The 16867-nt window shown below is 42.4% G+C and overlaps 1 protein-coding gene across 11 annotated transcripts in view, besides 3 other annotated features; it reads left to right on the top strand.

Moving 5' to 3' along the window:
- Window positions 1-16867, top strand: part of TP53BP1 (tumor protein p53 binding protein 1) — a 107580-nt gene that overhangs the window by 6379 nt on the left and 84334 nt on the right. For 5 of the 11 annotated variants that reach the window (XR_007064488.1, XM_047432995.1, XM_047432998.1 and 2 more), the window contains exons 2-6: window positions 6724-6862; window positions 11005-11225; window positions 11794-11978; window positions 12167-12260; window positions 12509-12593. Coding sequence is in view for 9 of the 11 variants with exons in the window: in XM_047432995.1 (XP_047288951.1) it covers window positions 11219-11225; window positions 11794-11978; window positions 12167-12260; window positions 12509-12593 (371 nt within the window). In the remaining 2 variants the exon portion in view is untranslated. Of the gene's footprint in view, window positions 1-6723; window positions 6863-11004; window positions 11226-11793; window positions 11979-12166; window positions 12261-12508; window positions 12594-16867 lie in introns of those variants that run through there. The other 6 variants (NM_001141979.3, NM_001141980.3, NM_001355001.2 and 3 more) reach the window with 3 other exon arrangements.
- Window positions 8668-9168: an enhancer, noted in NCBI's record as "H3K4me1 hESC enhancer chr15:43787292-43787792 (GRCh37/hg19 assembly coordinates)". NCBI's record gives its function as "activates a minimal SCP1, AML or CMV promoter by ChIP-STARR-seq in primed H9 embryonic stem cells {active_cell/tissue: H9 hESC(primed)}" and the evidence as "EXISTENCE:reporter gene assay evidence [ECO:0000049][PMID:30033119]".
- Window positions 10665-11371: an enhancer, noted in NCBI's record as "NANOG-H3K27ac hESC enhancer chr15:43785089-43785795 (GRCh37/hg19 assembly coordinates)". NCBI's record gives its function as "activates a minimal SCP1, AML or CMV promoter by ChIP-STARR-seq in primed H9 embryonic stem cells {active_cell/tissue: H9 hESC(primed)}" and the evidence as "EXISTENCE:reporter gene assay evidence [ECO:0000049][PMID:30033119]".
- Window positions 11372-12080: an enhancer, noted in NCBI's record as "OCT4-NANOG-H3K27ac hESC enhancer chr15:43784380-43785088 (GRCh37/hg19 assembly coordinates)". NCBI's record gives its function as "activates a minimal SCP1, AML or CMV promoter by ChIP-STARR-seq in primed H9 embryonic stem cells {active_cell/tissue: H9 hESC(primed)}" and the evidence as "EXISTENCE:reporter gene assay evidence [ECO:0000049][PMID:30033119]".

Here is a 16867-nt window from a genome sequence, read left to right as displayed (position 1 = left end):
GCAGGAGGATCACTTGAGGCAAAAGTATCACTTGAGGTTGCAGTGAGCTGTGATCGTGCCAGTGCGCTCCAGCTTGGGCAACAGAGCAAGACTCTGTCTCAAAAAATTTTTGTTTTAATTTATTGATTGATTTGTAGAGATGAGGAGGGGGGTCTTGCTATTTTGCACAGGCTGGTCTCGAACTCCTAGCCTCAAGCAATCCTCCCATCTTGGTCTCCCAAAGCTATGGGATTACAGGCTTTAGCCACCATTCCTGGCCCTCCCGTATGCATTAAATTGTCTCTTGATTACCTGTAATAACTAATACAGTGTAAATGCTATGTATATAGGTGTATTGTTTGGCAAATAATTACAAGAAAAAAAAGTCTGTGAATGTTCAGTACGGAACCAACCACCCTTTTTTTCTGAATATTTTCAATTCATGGTTGGTTGAATCCACAGATGCAGAATCCACATATAGGGAAGGCTGACTATATTTTAAAACACTGCAAAGAAGAATCAGGAGAAGGCAGGGTGAGACTTCAGACTAAGATGTAAGCCTGACATCTGTGGAAGGAGAGAGGGAAGGAAGGAGGATTGGAAAGGAAGAATCTTTTTTTTTTTGAGATGGAGTCTTGCTCTGTTGCCCAGGCTGGAGTGTAGTGGCGTCATCTCTGCTTACTGCAACCTCCGCCTCCCGGGTTCAAACAATTCTCCTGCCTCAGCCTCCCGAGTAGCTGGAATTACAGGCGCTGGCCACCATGCCCGGCTAATTTTTTGTATTTTTAGTAGAAACAGAGTTTTGCCACGTTGGCCAGGCTGGTCTTGAAATCCTGACATCAGGTAATCCACCTGCCTCAGGCTCCTGAAGTGTTGGGATTACAGGTGTGAGCCACTCTGCCCAGCCCAGTGGTACATTTTCATGGTTGTCACAGTACATACTGCATGAATAAGTTTATCTGAAATTCTAGAATGGGCAAAACTAATCTACAGTGACAGAAAGCAACTAAATGATTGCCCAGGGCTGGGAATTGATTGCAAAGGGCACAGGGAACTTTTTGGGTGATTGATATGTTCTATATTTGATTGGAGTCATAGCTACACACACCCGCGCATGCGCGCACACACACACGCACCCATTTATTGAACTCATCAAACTCTACACTTAAAATGGGCCCAATTTTAATTGTACATAAATGATATATAAAGTTGACTAAAAAACACAAGATAGGCCGGGCAAGGTGGCTCACGCATGTAATCCCAGCAGTTTTGGAGGCCAAGGCGGGTTGATCGCTTGAGTCCAGGAGTTGAAGACCAGCCTGGCCAACACGGCAAAACCCCGTCTCTACTAAAAATACAAAAATTAGCTGGGGGTGGTGGTGTGCGCCTGTAATCCCAGCTACTTGGGAGGTTGTACAAGAATCGCTTGAACCCGGGAGACAGAGGTTGCAGTGAGCTGAGATCATGCCATCACACTCCAGCTGGAGTGACAAAGTGAGACTCTGCCTCAAGAAAAAAACAAATGGCAGGGCACGGTGGCTCACGCGTGTAATCCCAACACTTTAGGAGGCCAAGGTGGGCAGATCATGAGGACAGGAGATTGAGACCATTTTGGCTAACATAGTGAAACCCCGTCTCTACTAAAAAATACAAAAAAAAAAAAAATAGGTCGTGGTGGCGGGCGCCTGTAGTCCCAGCTGCTCAGGAGGCTGAGGCAGGAGAATGGTGTGAACCCGGGAGGCGGAGCTTGCAGTGAGCCAAGATCGCGCTACTGCACTCCAGCCTGGGTGACAGAGTGAGACTCAAAAAAAAATGAGAAAAAAAACAAACATGAGATATCACTTCACACTGACAAACCAAATGTTAGTGAGAATGTGGAGCACCTGAAACTAATATGTTGTTAGTGGAAGTATAAAATTATACAATCATTTTATTTATTTATTTTTAATTTGTTTTTAAGAGACATAGTCTTGCTGTGTTGCCCAGGCTGGAGTGCAAGTGGTGCGATCATAGCTCACTGCAACCTTGAACTCCTGGGCTCAATTGATCTTCCCACCTCAGCCTCCCTAGTAGCTGGTACTACAGGCTGGTGCCACCATGCTTGACTAATTTTTAAAACATTTTTTTGTAGAGATAAGGCCTCCCTGTATTGCCCAGGCTGGTCTTGAACTTCTGGCTCAAGCGAACCTCTCAACTCAGCCTCCCAAAATGTTGGGATTACAGGCACGAGCCACTGCAGGTGGCCTACAGTCATTTTCAAAAACTGTTTTTGGCAGTTTCTTATAAAGTGAAAGGAGCACACATCCTATGACCCAGCAGTTCCACTTCTAGTTATCTACCCAAGATAAATGAAAACAAATGTTCACAAAACGAATTGTTTATAAATGTTCATAGCAACTTTATTTATAATAGTCTAAACCCAAATATGCAGTAATAGGAGAATTAATAAAACAAGTTGTGTTGCATACAATTGAATGTTGCTGAGCAATGAAAAAGAATGAAGTACTGATGCATGCAGCAACATGCAAAATGTTGAGCAAAAGAAGCTGGACACAAAAGACCACGTACTGTGTGATTCCATTTATATAAAATAGTATTACAGGTAAAATTAATCTATGGTCATAGAAGTTACAATATGACTGCCTTGTGGAATGGGGATTGACTGGAAGGGACCATGAATAACTCTCTGGAGTGATGACAATGTTCTATATATTGATTGATATGTAGGTTTCATGGCTGTATATGTTTGTCAAAGCTCATCAAATTACTGGCCAAGCACGGTGGCCCATGCCTGTGTTCCCAGCATTTTGGGAGGTCGAGGTGGGAGAATTGCTTGAGCCCAGGAGTTCAAGACCCACCTGAGCAACATAGTGTAACCCCATCTCTACAAAAGAAAGAAAAATTAGCCAGGTGTGGTGGTGCATACCTGTAGTCCCAGCCCCGAGGAGACTGAGCTGGGAGGATTGCTTGAGCCCAGGAGCTGAGCCCAGGAGTTCAAGGCTGTGGTGAGCTATGATCAAGCCATTGCACTCTAGCCTCGGCCACAGAGCAAGACCCTGTCTCTTAAAAAAAAAAAAAATTACACAATTAAGAGCTATAGATTTCACTGTATGTAAATTTTACCTCAATAAAAATATCAGTCACTAAAAATAAAAAACAAAATGAAAGAAACAAGCCTAACTATTGAATTGGTAGTATTGTTTTAAGTGATTTTAAAATACAGTAATTTAACTTTATATATATGTGTTTTTTAGACAGACTGTCACTGTCACCCAGGCTGGTGTGCAGTGGCATGATCACTGCTCACTGCAGACTTGACCTCCTGAGCTCAAGTGATCCTCCTGCATTGGCCTCCCAAAGTTCTGGGATGTAAGCCACCATGCCTGGCCTGTTCATTTTCTTTGGGTGTGTTGACGGTGTTCTTATGTTTAAAATATTCTCTTTATTTTATTTTATTTCTTTGAGACAGAGTCTCACTCTGTCGCCCAGGCTGGAGTGCAGCAGCGTGATTTCGGCTCAGTGCAACCTCCGCCTCCCAGGTTCAAGTGATTCTCCTGCCTCAGCCTCCCAAGTAGTTGGGACTACAGGTGCTCGCCACCATGCCCAGCTAATTTTTGTATTTTTTAATAGGGATGGGGTTTCACCATGTTGGCCAGGCTGGTCTTAAACTTCTGACCTCAGGTGGTCCACCCACCTCAGCCTCCCAAAGTGCTGGGATTTTAAGTGTGAGCCACCAAGCCTGGCCTAAAATATTCTCTATATTTTAGACACAGAAGTATTTTGGTTAAAATTATATGATGTCTGGGATTTGTTTAGAAATCAGTTTGGGGGAAGTGGGTGGATATAGATGAAATAAGATTGAGCATTTGTTTGAAAAAAAAAAATTTCAACAAAAGAAGATTGAGCATTTGTTGCTAATTGTTGAAGGTGTATTATATAAGTACATAGCTTTTAAAATTTTTTCTGTTAATAAAAAGACAGTATCTTCAAGCTTTTTGTTATAAGCAACCAGAAGGGTGAAGTTGCCATCAACTGAGATGGGGAAGGCTGCAGGTGGAGTAGACTTGGTAGAAGAGATGAGTTCAATTTTAAGCATGTTGAATTTGAGATGTCAATTGGACATCAAAATGAAGATATTGAATAGGCAGTTAGATACATAAATTGGTAATTTGGGAGAGAGGTGTGGGTCAAAGACGTAGTTAGGAGTCATTGGCATATAGATTGTATTTATAGCAATGTGACTGGATGAAATCAAGAAAGGAGTGAGAGTAAATAGAACTTAGAACATAGTAAGTGCTCAAGAAGTATTCATTATAACCACATGACTAAAATTATTTCGATTTGTCTCACAATTCCTACAGAACTTTTATTGTATCTTGTACTATCATTATTTCTATGTCTTATCTCCTTCCTAGATTGTAAATTCTTTGAAGCTAGAAACTAGATATTACTCATCCTTATACACTGCTCTCTCTCCACCACCACCATGGAGCCAAAATGGTACCTTGCATTTAAGTGAATTGAAATTAATAAATGAACCTGAGTTTGTGAAGAAATTTTTGGTCAGTTTTATGGGTTTTCTGACTTGCTCTGACTTTCAGTTCTTGAGACTCTGTGTGATGTGCTTATATGTGAGTAGAGCCAAGATGCATTACTGCTATTCTTGCCACTTGTTAGTTAGCACACTAGCTCTGTACAAGTCCAGATCAGCCTTTGAGACCTAGCTGTACTGAAGACACTGCAGAAGGGATATGCTCAGAGTAGAATGGGAAAGTGTAATAATGACACAGGAAGTAGGATCCAAGAGTAGGCACTGTGTTCATGCTATGTTACTTTTACTTTATTATTTATTATTATTTTTTAAATTTTATTTGAGGTTCAGGGGTACATGTGCAGGTTTGTTAAATAGGTAAGTTGCATTATCACGGGGTTTGGTGTACAGATTATTTTGCCACACAGGTAACAAGCATAGTAACTGATAGTTTTTGATTCTCATCCTCCTCCCCCTCTCCACCCTTAAGTAGGCCCCAGAGTCTGTTGTTCCCTTCTTTGTACGTAGACGTTACTTTATGTACACACACTACCTCAGAATATGAGTAACTATTTCACAGCTCAGCCACTAGGACACAGTGGTGTCCTTGTCCACTGAAGTCTTCTCTTATATTCTTTTTAGATTTCTCAGCCCCAGGACATAAAAACTCCCTTCTTTCCATTGAAACATAAGAGTTTAGGAGTAACTGGTTTGTTTTGTTTTTTTTTTTTTGTTGTTGTTGTTTTTAATTTGCAAAATGAACTTTTCTCACCTTCTACCATCCTGGGTCTGATTTCTGGCAGTTTCCATAGTCTCTAAGTATATTCCTTCTCTTGTCCTCATGCTGTTCCTATGTCAGGTGCAGGTTAACTTTTCTTTAGTTTTGCTTAGTACCAAACTGCCCAGCTCCAATCTTGGATAATTTGGTACCATTCTCTTTCTTTATTTTTTATTTAATAACCAGAGTATAATTATCAAGATCAGGAAAATAACATTGATTCGTTACTAATCTACAGACCTTATTCAGATATCAACAGTGCTCCCATTAGAATTATTTATAGAAGAAGGGAAACCAAGTTCTTGTCCAGGATTCAGTTCTGGATCATCTGTTACATTTAATGGTTTTGTCTTTGTAGTCTTCTCAAATCTAGAACATTTCTTGAGACTTTGATTGTCATTCTTGACCTTGGCAGCACTTCTTTCTCTCTCTCTCTCTTTCTCTTTGGAGAATATGGGCTGTTTATCTGTAAAGCACCCATTAATGTGGATTTATCTGATTTTTTCTCATGATCAGATTCAGGTTATAGATTTTTGGCAAGAATACAATTAAAGTGTGATATATCCTCAGTGCATTATATCAAGTGACACAGATGGCTTTTTGTTCCCTTACTGGTATATTAACTGAGATCACTTGGTTGAGTTGGTGAATACCAGGTTTCTTCACTGCAAATTTACCACTTTTCTCTTTGTAATAATTCAGTACATTTTAGGGAGATACTTTGAGATCATGTATATACCCTCTTTCACCATATTATGAGTTTTAGCATTAATGATATTTATTTTGAATCATCTTTATTGTGAAACATAGCACACATAAAGTGAATAAAATAAAATATAAATGTACAAATTTATGAATTATAAATAGTATACCTGTGTAATGCCTCTGGTAATAAAAAATAGAACATTTCCAAGCACCTCACATGCCTCTTAATGAATTACAACCCCACTGTTACCTATACAATTAACCATACATTCTTTTATTGCAATCCTGTTATTAAAATTTTTTATGATCTAAGTACACATCTTTAAATATTAAAGTTTAGTCTCATTGAAAAACTTTTGTTACTGTAGTAAAATACACATAACATAAATGTACCATTATAACCATTTTTAAGTGTATGGTTCAGTGGCATTAAGTACATTTACATTGTTGTGCAACCATCACCACCATCCATCTCCAGAACTTTTTCATCTTCCCAAACTGAAGCTATGTAAATCATTAAACAATAAATTCCCTTTCCTCCCTCCTCCTAGCTCCTGGCAGCCACCATTCTACTTTCTCTCTTTCTGAATTTGCCTACTCTAGGTACCTCGTATAAGTGGAATCACACAATATTTGTTCTTTTGTGTCTGGCTTATTTCACTTAGCATAATGTTTTCAAGGTTCATCTGTGTTGAGCATGTTCATATCACTCTCGATTTTTATTCTATAGTACTGGCTTCCAGGAAGTTAGGAATTGGAAAGAAAGCTGAGATGGTAGAGAAGAGCCAGGATTTATCGAGTCACAGGATGAGAATTTTGAGGAGGGAATGGCAACAGCATCAGACACTACAGACGTCAAAGATAATGAGGTAATTTGTTGTTGTTTTTTGAGGCAGAGTCTCACTCTGTAGCCCAGGCTGGGGTGCAGTGGTGCGATCTCGGCTCACTGCAACCTCTGCCTCCCAGGTTCAAGTGATTCTTCCACCTCAGCCTCCTGAGTAGCTGGGAATACAGGTGCACACCACCATTGTATTTTTAATAGAGACGGGGTTTCACCATGCTGGCCAGGCTAGTCTTGAACTCCTGAGCTCAAGCAATCAGCCTGCCTTGGCCTCCCAAAGTACTGGGATTACTTGAGCTACCGCACCTGGCTGATAATGAGGTAATTTGACAAGAAAATTTTAGAATCAGTCATTAACATGTTTAGAGTAACTACTTTGTGTCTGGCATTGTGCTAGGCATTAGATTTATGGAGGTTGAAGCCAGACTGCAAACGTAGAGAAGTAGAGTGGACAGGAGATGATACTTGGATGTGAAGATTTGATTACTTCTATACAAAGAGGGGAGAGGCTGGGCACTATGGCTCATGCCTGTAATCCCAGCACTTTGGGAGGCTGAGGTGGGCGGATCACCTGAGGCCGGAGTTCGAGACCTGCTTGACCAACATGGAGAAACTCTGTCTCTACTAAAAATACAAAATTAGCCAGGTGTGTTGCACATGCCTGTAATCCTAGCTACTCAGGAGGCTGAGGCAGGAGAATCAGTTGAACCCAGGAGGCAGGGGTTGCCGTAAGCGGAGATCACACCATTGCACTCCAGCCTGGGCAAAAAGAGTGAAACTCCATCTCAAAAAAAAAAAAAAAAAAGGAATATATGATTGTTTTCCTATCATTAAATTTGGCACTTGTCAATTCTCCTCAGTAGAGTACTCTGCCACTGAGCTCCAAAACTATGAGTTTTCATAAGATCGTGAAGCAACTTTAAAGGTTGGTGGAATACCTGTGAGGGAAGAATAAGCTGGGCTAGGGTTCTTTTGCTTAAGAAGTCTTTGAGGAGGCTTCAGAAAAATACTCACAAACTAAGTCATATAGTATTTAGATTTGTTGTTTGATGGTTTGAAATTTATTATATAATTATAGGACCAAATGAGATGATCCCAACTTAATGACATCTATCTAGGTTTTAAAGATAGCAGTTAAAGACAATATGAGAGGAAATGGCTTTAAATTCTATAATAAAGGATTTAGGTTAGAAGATTAGAAGATTAATATTAGAAGAAAAATTTCTGACAATGAGGTTTGTTAAACTTTAAAGCAAGTTAACCTAAGATCTGATGAGCCTTCTCTGGGAGGGCTTTAGAGGTAAGTTAGATTTCTCTGTCTAAGGTGGTTTAGGAAAAGATGTTACCTGTAGACAGGTAGATGTGCTGTTGGTCCTTTGCAGTCTAGGAGTCAATAAAGGCCTTTGGCTCATCTAGCTGCAACCATTCTGCCTGTAGTTTATTTTTCTGGATAATTTAATGATTAATTTAATTGCCACACTGCCTAACAAGGAATTAATAGTTTTTCTTAACAGTTTTTTTTAAGATTCTTGTTTAGTAATGCAAATGGCTCACTCATTTATTTATCTATTTTTAGTCAGGCTGAGGTTTTTAGGCTTTTTTTTTTTTTTTGAGACGGGGTCTCACTCTGTCACCCAGGCTGGAGTGCAGTGGCGCGATCTCTGCTGACTGCAAGCTCCGCCTCCCGGGTTCACGCCATTCTCCTGCCTCAGCCTCCCAAGTAGCTGGGACTACAGGCGCCTGCCCGCGCACCCGGCTAATTTTTTGTATTTTTAGTAGAGACCGTGTTTCACCGTGTTAGCCAGGATGGTCTCGATCTCCTGACCTCGTGATCTGCCCGACTTGGCCTCCCAGAGTGCTGGGATTACAGGCGTGAGCTACCGCACCTGGCTTTTGTGTGTGTGTGTGTGTGTGTGTGTGTGTGTGTGTGTGACGGAGTCTCACTCTGCTGCCCACGCTGGAGTGCAGTGGCACGATCTCGGCTCACTGTAACCTACGCCTCCAGGGTTCAAGCAATTCTCCTGCCTCAGCCTCCTGAGTAGCTGGGACTACAGGCGCCCACCACCATGCCCAGCTGATTTTTTGTATTTTTAGTAGAGGCGGGGTTTCACTATCTTAGCCAGGATGGTCTCGATCTCCTGACCTCATGATCCGCCCGCCTCGTCCTCCCAAAGTGCTGGGATTACAGGTGTGAGCCACTGCGCCTGGCGGTTTTTAGGTTTTTATTGTTGTTGTTTCAGACAGGGTCTCACTCTCTTGCCCAGGCTGGAGCACAGTGTTGCAATCTTGGCTCATTGCAACCTGTGCCTCCTAGTTCAGGAGATGCTCTCACCTCAGCCTCCTGAGTAGCTGGGACTACAGGCACATGCCACCACACCCAGCTAATTTTTTTCGTATATTTTTTAGAGATGGGCTTTTGCCATGTTGCCCAGGCTGGTCTCAAATTCCTGGGCTCAAGTAATCCACCTGCCTCTGCCTCCCAAAGTGCTGGGATTACAGGTGTAAGCCACTGCGCCCAGCCATTTTATGTTTCGACAAACACACTTGTCAAGTAATCAAACAGATCTGTTTATTTGTGCCTCACTTGGGGAGGAAGCAGAAGCAGGCTGGAGAAGAAAAGCAAAAAAATGGTAACTTTTGGGGGATTTTTATGGGACTCAAGGTCATGATTTACTCATAACAGGACCTGGTTGGTTGTGCCCTCTCAAATAGAGCAGATGAACTCACTTTGTCCAGCTAGTGTAGTTAGTATTGCTCTAACCTGGTCTTTAAGTATTAGATTTGTTTAGTCACTGGTGTTCTGCAGCTTTAGGAGTGGAGTATGAAAAGAGTCAATTATAAATGATTTTAAGATTAAGAAGTGAGATGCATCTCTGTGTGGTCCATTTCATTTTAGCTCCACTAATAAAACATACTGGCGACCATAATTATATTCCAGTTATAGCAGTAATAGATTCTAGATTTTTCAGGACAGTTTCAAGGAGTCAGTCCTTTTGTTCCCATAAGTAACGTGTATTCAGACAACATGCTTTGAATTTGGTTTGGAAAATAGGATCACTGTAATTTATAGCAGCAGTGAGAAGACTGGTAGGAAGCTCCACTTCAGCTTTGCCTATATCACGTGCTGAATTGGGCATTTACAGAAATGGAGAATCATGGTTGGGCTGTGCCGAAATAAATCTGAGCCTGGGGTAGAAAGAGAAAACTGCCTCATATTGAATGCCTACTATGTATATGTTTGGCACTGTGCTAGGTGCTTTCCCTATTGACAGCTGCTCTGGCTAGAATTCTATCCTGGATCCAACTGCCACTTAAATAATATACCCCCACCCCTCAACAACAACAACAACAAAACAAACACATATGCCACATGGGGCTTAGTTCATTAAGACTCGTCACAGCTGCCACACCCTCTTTAAGACCCTGGCACCATAATTAGGATAATAGAATCTCTGGGTTTGGAAGTATCTTTGAGGTCATCTAGTTAGAAGGGGTGGCAGCTGTTCTCTTTACCATGGAGTTTGAGAATGACAGTGCTCAATTCTCTCAATGGGAGGTGCAAAATATGTCTGGGGCTGTAGTCTCTGCAGGCAATCCCATAAAAGATAAGGCAACGATAAACAAGTGTGAAGCTTGAAATACGTCCTAGGCGGAAAAGGGCAATGGGAAGAAATATGGCTTACTGGAGCCCTTATACAATGTAAAAACAAACAAATACTAAAAACGCCCTGGCAGAGATGTAATGTCAGGCCCTTGGATTCAGGGTAGAGGCCCACAAAAGGGATCCTGATTGACACAGGTTAACCCTGTGTCAAAGAAGAAAGAGTCTCTTCTGTTGGGTTCACCAGCTCTGAAGTACCTAGCCATCCTCAAGCCGCTTCTTCTTTGCCCTGTTATGAGAAAGCTGGGAAACTCTCTCCTTTTCCAGGAAAGAGGGTGAGGGACGGGGATTAAGGGGCGTGAACGAGAAAAAGCAGGTAGAGGTACTGAAATGTCTGAGTAGTGGTAAATGCAATCGTCCTGGAAGCAGGGGAAGGTATTTCACGCCCTCTCAAGGTCCCTTCGGTTCAAGGATACCGTCATTCTCCGGCTCTACTAAAGGGGAGGGCCTGCAACGTCCATGCTGCCATGGAAACGCGCCGCCGTGTTCCTTTTTCTTACGTGGGGCAGGGCACTCTGCCGCAGCTACCTATCATCCACGGGATTTCTTGAGTGGCGGGCGGCGGCAGCGAATGGACGATCCGATATTGTGTGACGTGACGGGAAAGGGGGAGTTCGCGGCCGGTGGCGGCGGTGGCGACAGCGGCGACCTAGGGATCGATCTGGAGGGACTTGGGGAGCGTGCAGAGACCTCTAGCTCGAGCGCGAGGGACCTCCCGCCGGGATGCCTGGTACTGTTTGGAGAGAAATGGGAGTGCAGTGGGCTCTGAAGGCCTGGATTTCGGGTCTGAAGGGATGGCTGACCGGAGGGGGCGGGGTGGCAAGCATGGCGGCGGTGACGGGGAAGGGGTTGGAGGGCCCTAAGGAGGGGGTGGGGAAACGTTAGCTAAGAAGGCTTGGTGGTCGTGAGGAAAGCTGAAAGGCTGTGGGGCCTCTGGCGAACAGATTTTAGAAAACATTCTTTTGGGGGGAGGTAGAGGCGCCAGAAGGACGTGGCGGGGGGGATGGAAAAAGGGGCGGGGAGAGAAGAGGTTAGGAAGGAGGGGAAAGGGTGTCTACGAGAAGGTGATGAAAAATAGGGAGGGATAGTCAGGCTTATTGTAAATAACGAGGAATGGTGACTTGGTAGGCATGATAGGAAAGTGCTTGCAGCAATTATAAATATAATATTCTAATTGGAGGAGTCCTGAAGTGGTCCCGTTTCCCAGCTCTTGTACTTCCGCCCCATTATTTAGGTTTAGACTGCGTGAGCAAGGCTAGTAGGTTACACGGAACTGATCTTTTGTTATTCCATTCCAGGGGAGCAGATGGACCCTACTGGAAGTCAGTTGGATTCAGATTTCTCTCAGCAAGATACTCCTTGCCTGATAATTGAAGATTCTCAGCCTGAAAGCCAGGTTCTAGAGGATGATTCTGGTTCTCACTTCAGTATGCTATCTCGACACCTTCCTAATCTCCAGACGCACAAAGAAAATCCTGTGTTGGTGAGTGATACCTTGTTTGAAGAAGATTGAGCAGATTTTTTTTTTTAAACCGAAAACCAGCAAACATAAGTATTTAGAAGATCATTACCTTCTCAATAAAGTTGATTGGAAAAATTGTTCACAAATAGTAGGTTTCATTTTGAACTATTTCATATATAATGGGGATATTTTGTATGTGTATTTTCTAGGATGTTGTGTCCAATCCTGAACAAACAGCTGGAGAAGAACGAGGAGACGGTAATAGTGGGTTCAATGAACATTTGAAAGAAAACAAGGTTGCAGGTGAGGTGTTTAAAGCTATCTGTCCCCTTTGCATTTTTTGGGTGCTCTTGTTGGTGCTGGGTGGATTTAAACTTTATGTGGTTGTGTCGAATGTATGTAAGGAAGCCTACTGTGGTATCTGCGTAGTAGTCACTCAAAAGTTGATGTGCTAGTGTCACTGATTAGATTGGTATTGTCTGTATTCCTGATTTTGTATTAAGGTTTGTTGGTAAATGTCTTTCATGCTAATATCCAGTTATTTTTTTCAGACCCTGTGGATTCTTCTAACTTGGACACATGTGGTTCCATCAGTCAGGTCATTGAGCAGTTACCTCAGCCAAACAGGACAAGCAGGTATACAGTGTTTGAAGGGGTTTATTTAAATGTATTATCAGATTTGTTCTTTTATCTGTACCTGTTGCCTCATCCCAAGGATAAAAGGATTAATCTCTTTCTTGTGGATTAGGAAATGGGACTTGAGGGTTGTATTAGATAGTATTGTAATAGTACTGATAGCTGGAAACTGTTTTGTGAAGGTAATAATTTTTATACCTACATTATTCAAATCATGATCTGTCTTGTGCATGTGAAACAAAATAAGCATTCCTCCTAGTAGAAAAAAATTATTAAAAAGTATTTAGGGGCCAGGCATGGTGGCTCATGCCTGTAATCCCAGCGCTTTGAGAGGCTGAGGCGGATGGATCACTTGAGGTCAGGAGTTTGAGACCAGCCTGGCCAACATGGTGAAACCCCATCTCTACTAAAAACAGAAAAATTAGCTGGGCCTGGTGGTGCGTGCCTGTAATCCCAGCTATTCAGGAGGCTGAGGCAGGAGAGTTGCTTGAACCTGGGAGGCGGAGGTTGCAGTGAGCTGAGATTGTACCAGTGTACTTTATCTAGCCTGAGTGACAGAGTGAGACTCCGTCTCAGCAAAAAAAAAAAAAAAATTTAGGAGTATTATCAGAACTATTAGGCATGTTTTCCATCTATCAACTGAAGTACCCCACCAGTTTTAGATCTAGAATGTTTAATTCTTACCCTAAACAAGATTCAATTGTTACCATGTCTTTTGCATATCTTTATAATACCCATTTTTTGAGTTCATGCTCTGTGTTAGGTCCTGTATTGGACGTTTGGCATATAGTATAATGTTATTTAATCCTATTCTTAAAGCAGCTGTACGATGAAGACATTACATTACTTCCATTGTATAGACGGGAAAATTGATGGACAAAGAAATTAGATAACTTGCTTTAGAGTACATTGCTAGTAAGTGGCAGAGCTGGCTTTGAACCTGGTCCTAATGACTCTAATGCCTCCTCTTTCATTCTAACTAATCAGTGCTTCTCAGTCTTCCGCCCCAATATTTCTAAGGTCCAAGGAGAATGTAGAGAACTTCAGGAGTTTTGGGGTGGTAGAAAGGGGAGGTGGTTAGAGAGGAGAATGTTAGCTTGAGATGGTTAAAGACTATTGTTTTTTCTTAAAAAGAAATGGTTTTTGGCTGGGCGCAGTGGCTCACACCTGTAATCCCAGCACTTTAGGAGGCTCAGACAAGAGGATCACTTGAGCCCAGGAGTTTGAGATCAGCCTGGGCAACCTAGTGAGACCCTGTCTCTACAAAAGAAAAAAAAAAAGGACTGGGTGTGGTAGCTCACACCTGTAATCCCAGCACTTCGGGAGGCTGAGGTGGGCGGATCACCTGAGGTCAGGAGTTTGATACCAGTCTGGACAACGTGGTGAAACCCGGTCTCTTAAAAATACAAAAATTAACGAGGTGTGGTAGCGGGTACCTGTAATACCAGCCACTCAGGAGGCTGCATCAGGAGAATCACTTGAACCTGGGAAGCAGAGGTTGCAGTGAGCCGAAATTGTGCCACTGCACTCTAGCCTGGGTGACAGAGCGAGACTCTGTCTCAAAATAAAATAAAATAATAAAAAAAAAAATAGCAGGGCATGGTGGTCCGTGCCTGTAGCCCCAGCTATTCAGGAGACTGAGATAGAAGGATCACTTGAGCCTGGAAGATTGAGGCTGCAGTCAGCCGTGATTGTGCCGCTGCACTCCAGCCTGGTTGATAGAGTGAGACCCTGTCTCAAAAAGAAAAGCTTTTTTGGAGGTGTGTTTTATTTTACACTCTGTGTCTGTACGTAATTTTTTTTTTCTCACAAATCATCAAGTAAAATAAATGCTTTAGAACAACCTGCAAACCGATGGGCTCATTGTGGCCTGCAGAAGTGTTTTATTTGGCCTACATAGGTGGTAAAATGTTAATATATTTGAATTAATTGACAGAATTTTAGAATGGGGAAATTTCTCATAAAACTTAGACTTCCAGCTTCTGGCATTTCTTGTTTCTGTTGGCAACAGTTGGCTGGAGTTATGAGTAGCAGTCAGCCTCTGCTTAGATGGAGCATTAGTGCTATGATTTGCCATAGTCACTACAATTCATTATTGTACTTGGACACTGAGGCCAGGTGTTCTTTTGTCATTTATCATAGTGCTTGTGCTTTTGTTCTTACACCCAGCTGCTTCACTCATCTATGTTATCTTGCTTTGATTTCTGTGGGCATTTAAGTTTATGGTACCTCTTTAAGAACATGTGCCAGGCTTATCTATGTTTTTGTGGCTCAGCATCCTGGTTTGAGCCAGTGGGGACAGGAAGTATGCACGTCCCTCATTGTGAATGAAGCAATGCTATTTGAGAAGTTTCATGCTACTTCTTTTCATGTTAAATAAATGTGCAGGCACTGTGGCATGTGCTTTAAAGGGGCTTTTGCCATTGTGGAGCTTATAATTTAATAGGAGAGACAGATGTTAAATGAGTCATTACATCAGTAGCTATTCCATTACAACTGTGATCATTGCAAAGAGGAGAAAAAATATATATAACGTAATCAGAAGGATAAGGGGACACCTCTTTGTGGAATACAATCTAAACAATAAATATGAATTTGTTAGGCATAGTTGAAGGGCTTGGAGGGCATAGTTGAAGAGCTGCACATTTCTATGTGCAGTATGAAAGGAGGAGCTGTCCAAACAGAATGAACTGTGTGTGCATAGGCCATGAAGCTGGAAAGAATTTGGAGTTGATTCCAAAAGAATGAAATCTCTTCAAAACACTTTTTTTTTTGAGACGGAGTCCCACTCTTGTTCCCCAGGCTGGAGTGCAATGGTGTGATCTTGGCTCACTGCAACCTCTGCCTCCCAGGTTCAAGCGATTCTCTTGCCTCAGCCTCCTGAGTAGCTGGGATTACAGGTGTCCACCACCACTGCTGGCTAATGTTTGTATTTTTAGTAGAGATGGGGTTTCCCCATGTTGGCCAGGCTGGTCTTAAACTCTTGACCTCAAGTGATCCACTTGCCTCAGTCTCCCAAAGTGCTGGGATTACAGGTGTGAACCACCTTGCCTGGCCAAATCCACCAAATTTATTCACATTTCCTGTTTTACTTCTTTTTATGTGTGTGTGTATGCGTGTGTGTATTAAGTTTTACATAGTTTTATCACCTGCGTAGGTTTGTGTCTTCACCACAACAGTCAAGATACAGTTCTAACACTGCAAGGATGTTTATTGTTGCCCTTTTATAGCCACACCTACCTCCGTCTTTTGCACCCAAACCCCTGGCAGCCATTAATCCATTCTTCATGTGTAAAATGTCATTTCAAAATACTATATAAAATGGGATCATACAGTCTGTAACCTTTAGTGATTGGCTTTTTTTTTTTTTTGAGACAGGGCCTCACTCTGTTGCTCAGGCTGGAGTGCAGTGGCAAGGTCATGGTTAGTGCAGCCTCCACCTCCTGGGCTCAAGCAATCCTCCCATCTCAGCCTCGCAAGTAGCTGAGACGACAGGCACATGCCACCACACCCAACTAATTTTTTAACTTTTTGTAGAGATGGGGTTTTGCTGTATTGGCCAGGGTGGTCTCCAATGCCTGGGCTCAAGCAATCCTCCTGTCTCATCCTCCTAGAATGCAGGGTTACAGGCATGAGCCACCATGCCCATCCTTGGGATTGGCTTTTTCAATCAGCATAACTTCTGGGGCTCCATCCATGTTTTTGCATGTATCAATAGTTCATTTTTATTGCTGAGTAGTCTTCCATGCCGTGGATGTACCACAGTTTGTTTAACCATTCATCTGTTGAAGGACATCTGCATTTTTTTTTCTTGTTTTTGACTACTATTGAGAAGCTGTTATAAGCATTTATGAACAGGTTTTTCTTTTCTTTTTTTTTTTTTTTGAGATGGAGTCTTGCTCTGTCGCCCAGGCTGGAATGCAATCTCAGCTCACTGCAACCTCCACTCCAGGGTTTAAGTGATTCTTCAGCCTCAGCATCCTGAGTAGCTGGGACTACAGCCGTGCACCATCACGCCTGGCTAATTTTTGTATTTTTAGTAGAGGCGGGATTTCACCATGTTGATCAGACTGGTTTTGAACTCCTGACCTCAGGTGATCTGCCTGCCTCAGCCTCCCAAAGTGCTGAGATTATAGGTGTGAGTCACTGTGCCCGGCCATATGTACAGGTTTTTCTGTGAGCATAAGTCTTCATTTCTCTAGGATAAATGCCCAGATTTGCAATTGCTGGGTCATGGTAGTTGCATGTTTGTTTTTTTAAGAAACTGCCAAACT

The sequence above is a fragment of the Homo sapiens genome, chromosome 15, assembly GCF_000001405.40.
Source record: "Homo sapiens chromosome 15, GRCh38.p14 Primary Assembly".
Lineage (NCBI taxonomy): Eukaryota > Metazoa > Chordata > Mammalia > Primates > Hominidae > Homo > Homo sapiens.
This window is presented reverse-complemented; position numbering and strand designations above follow the sequence as displayed.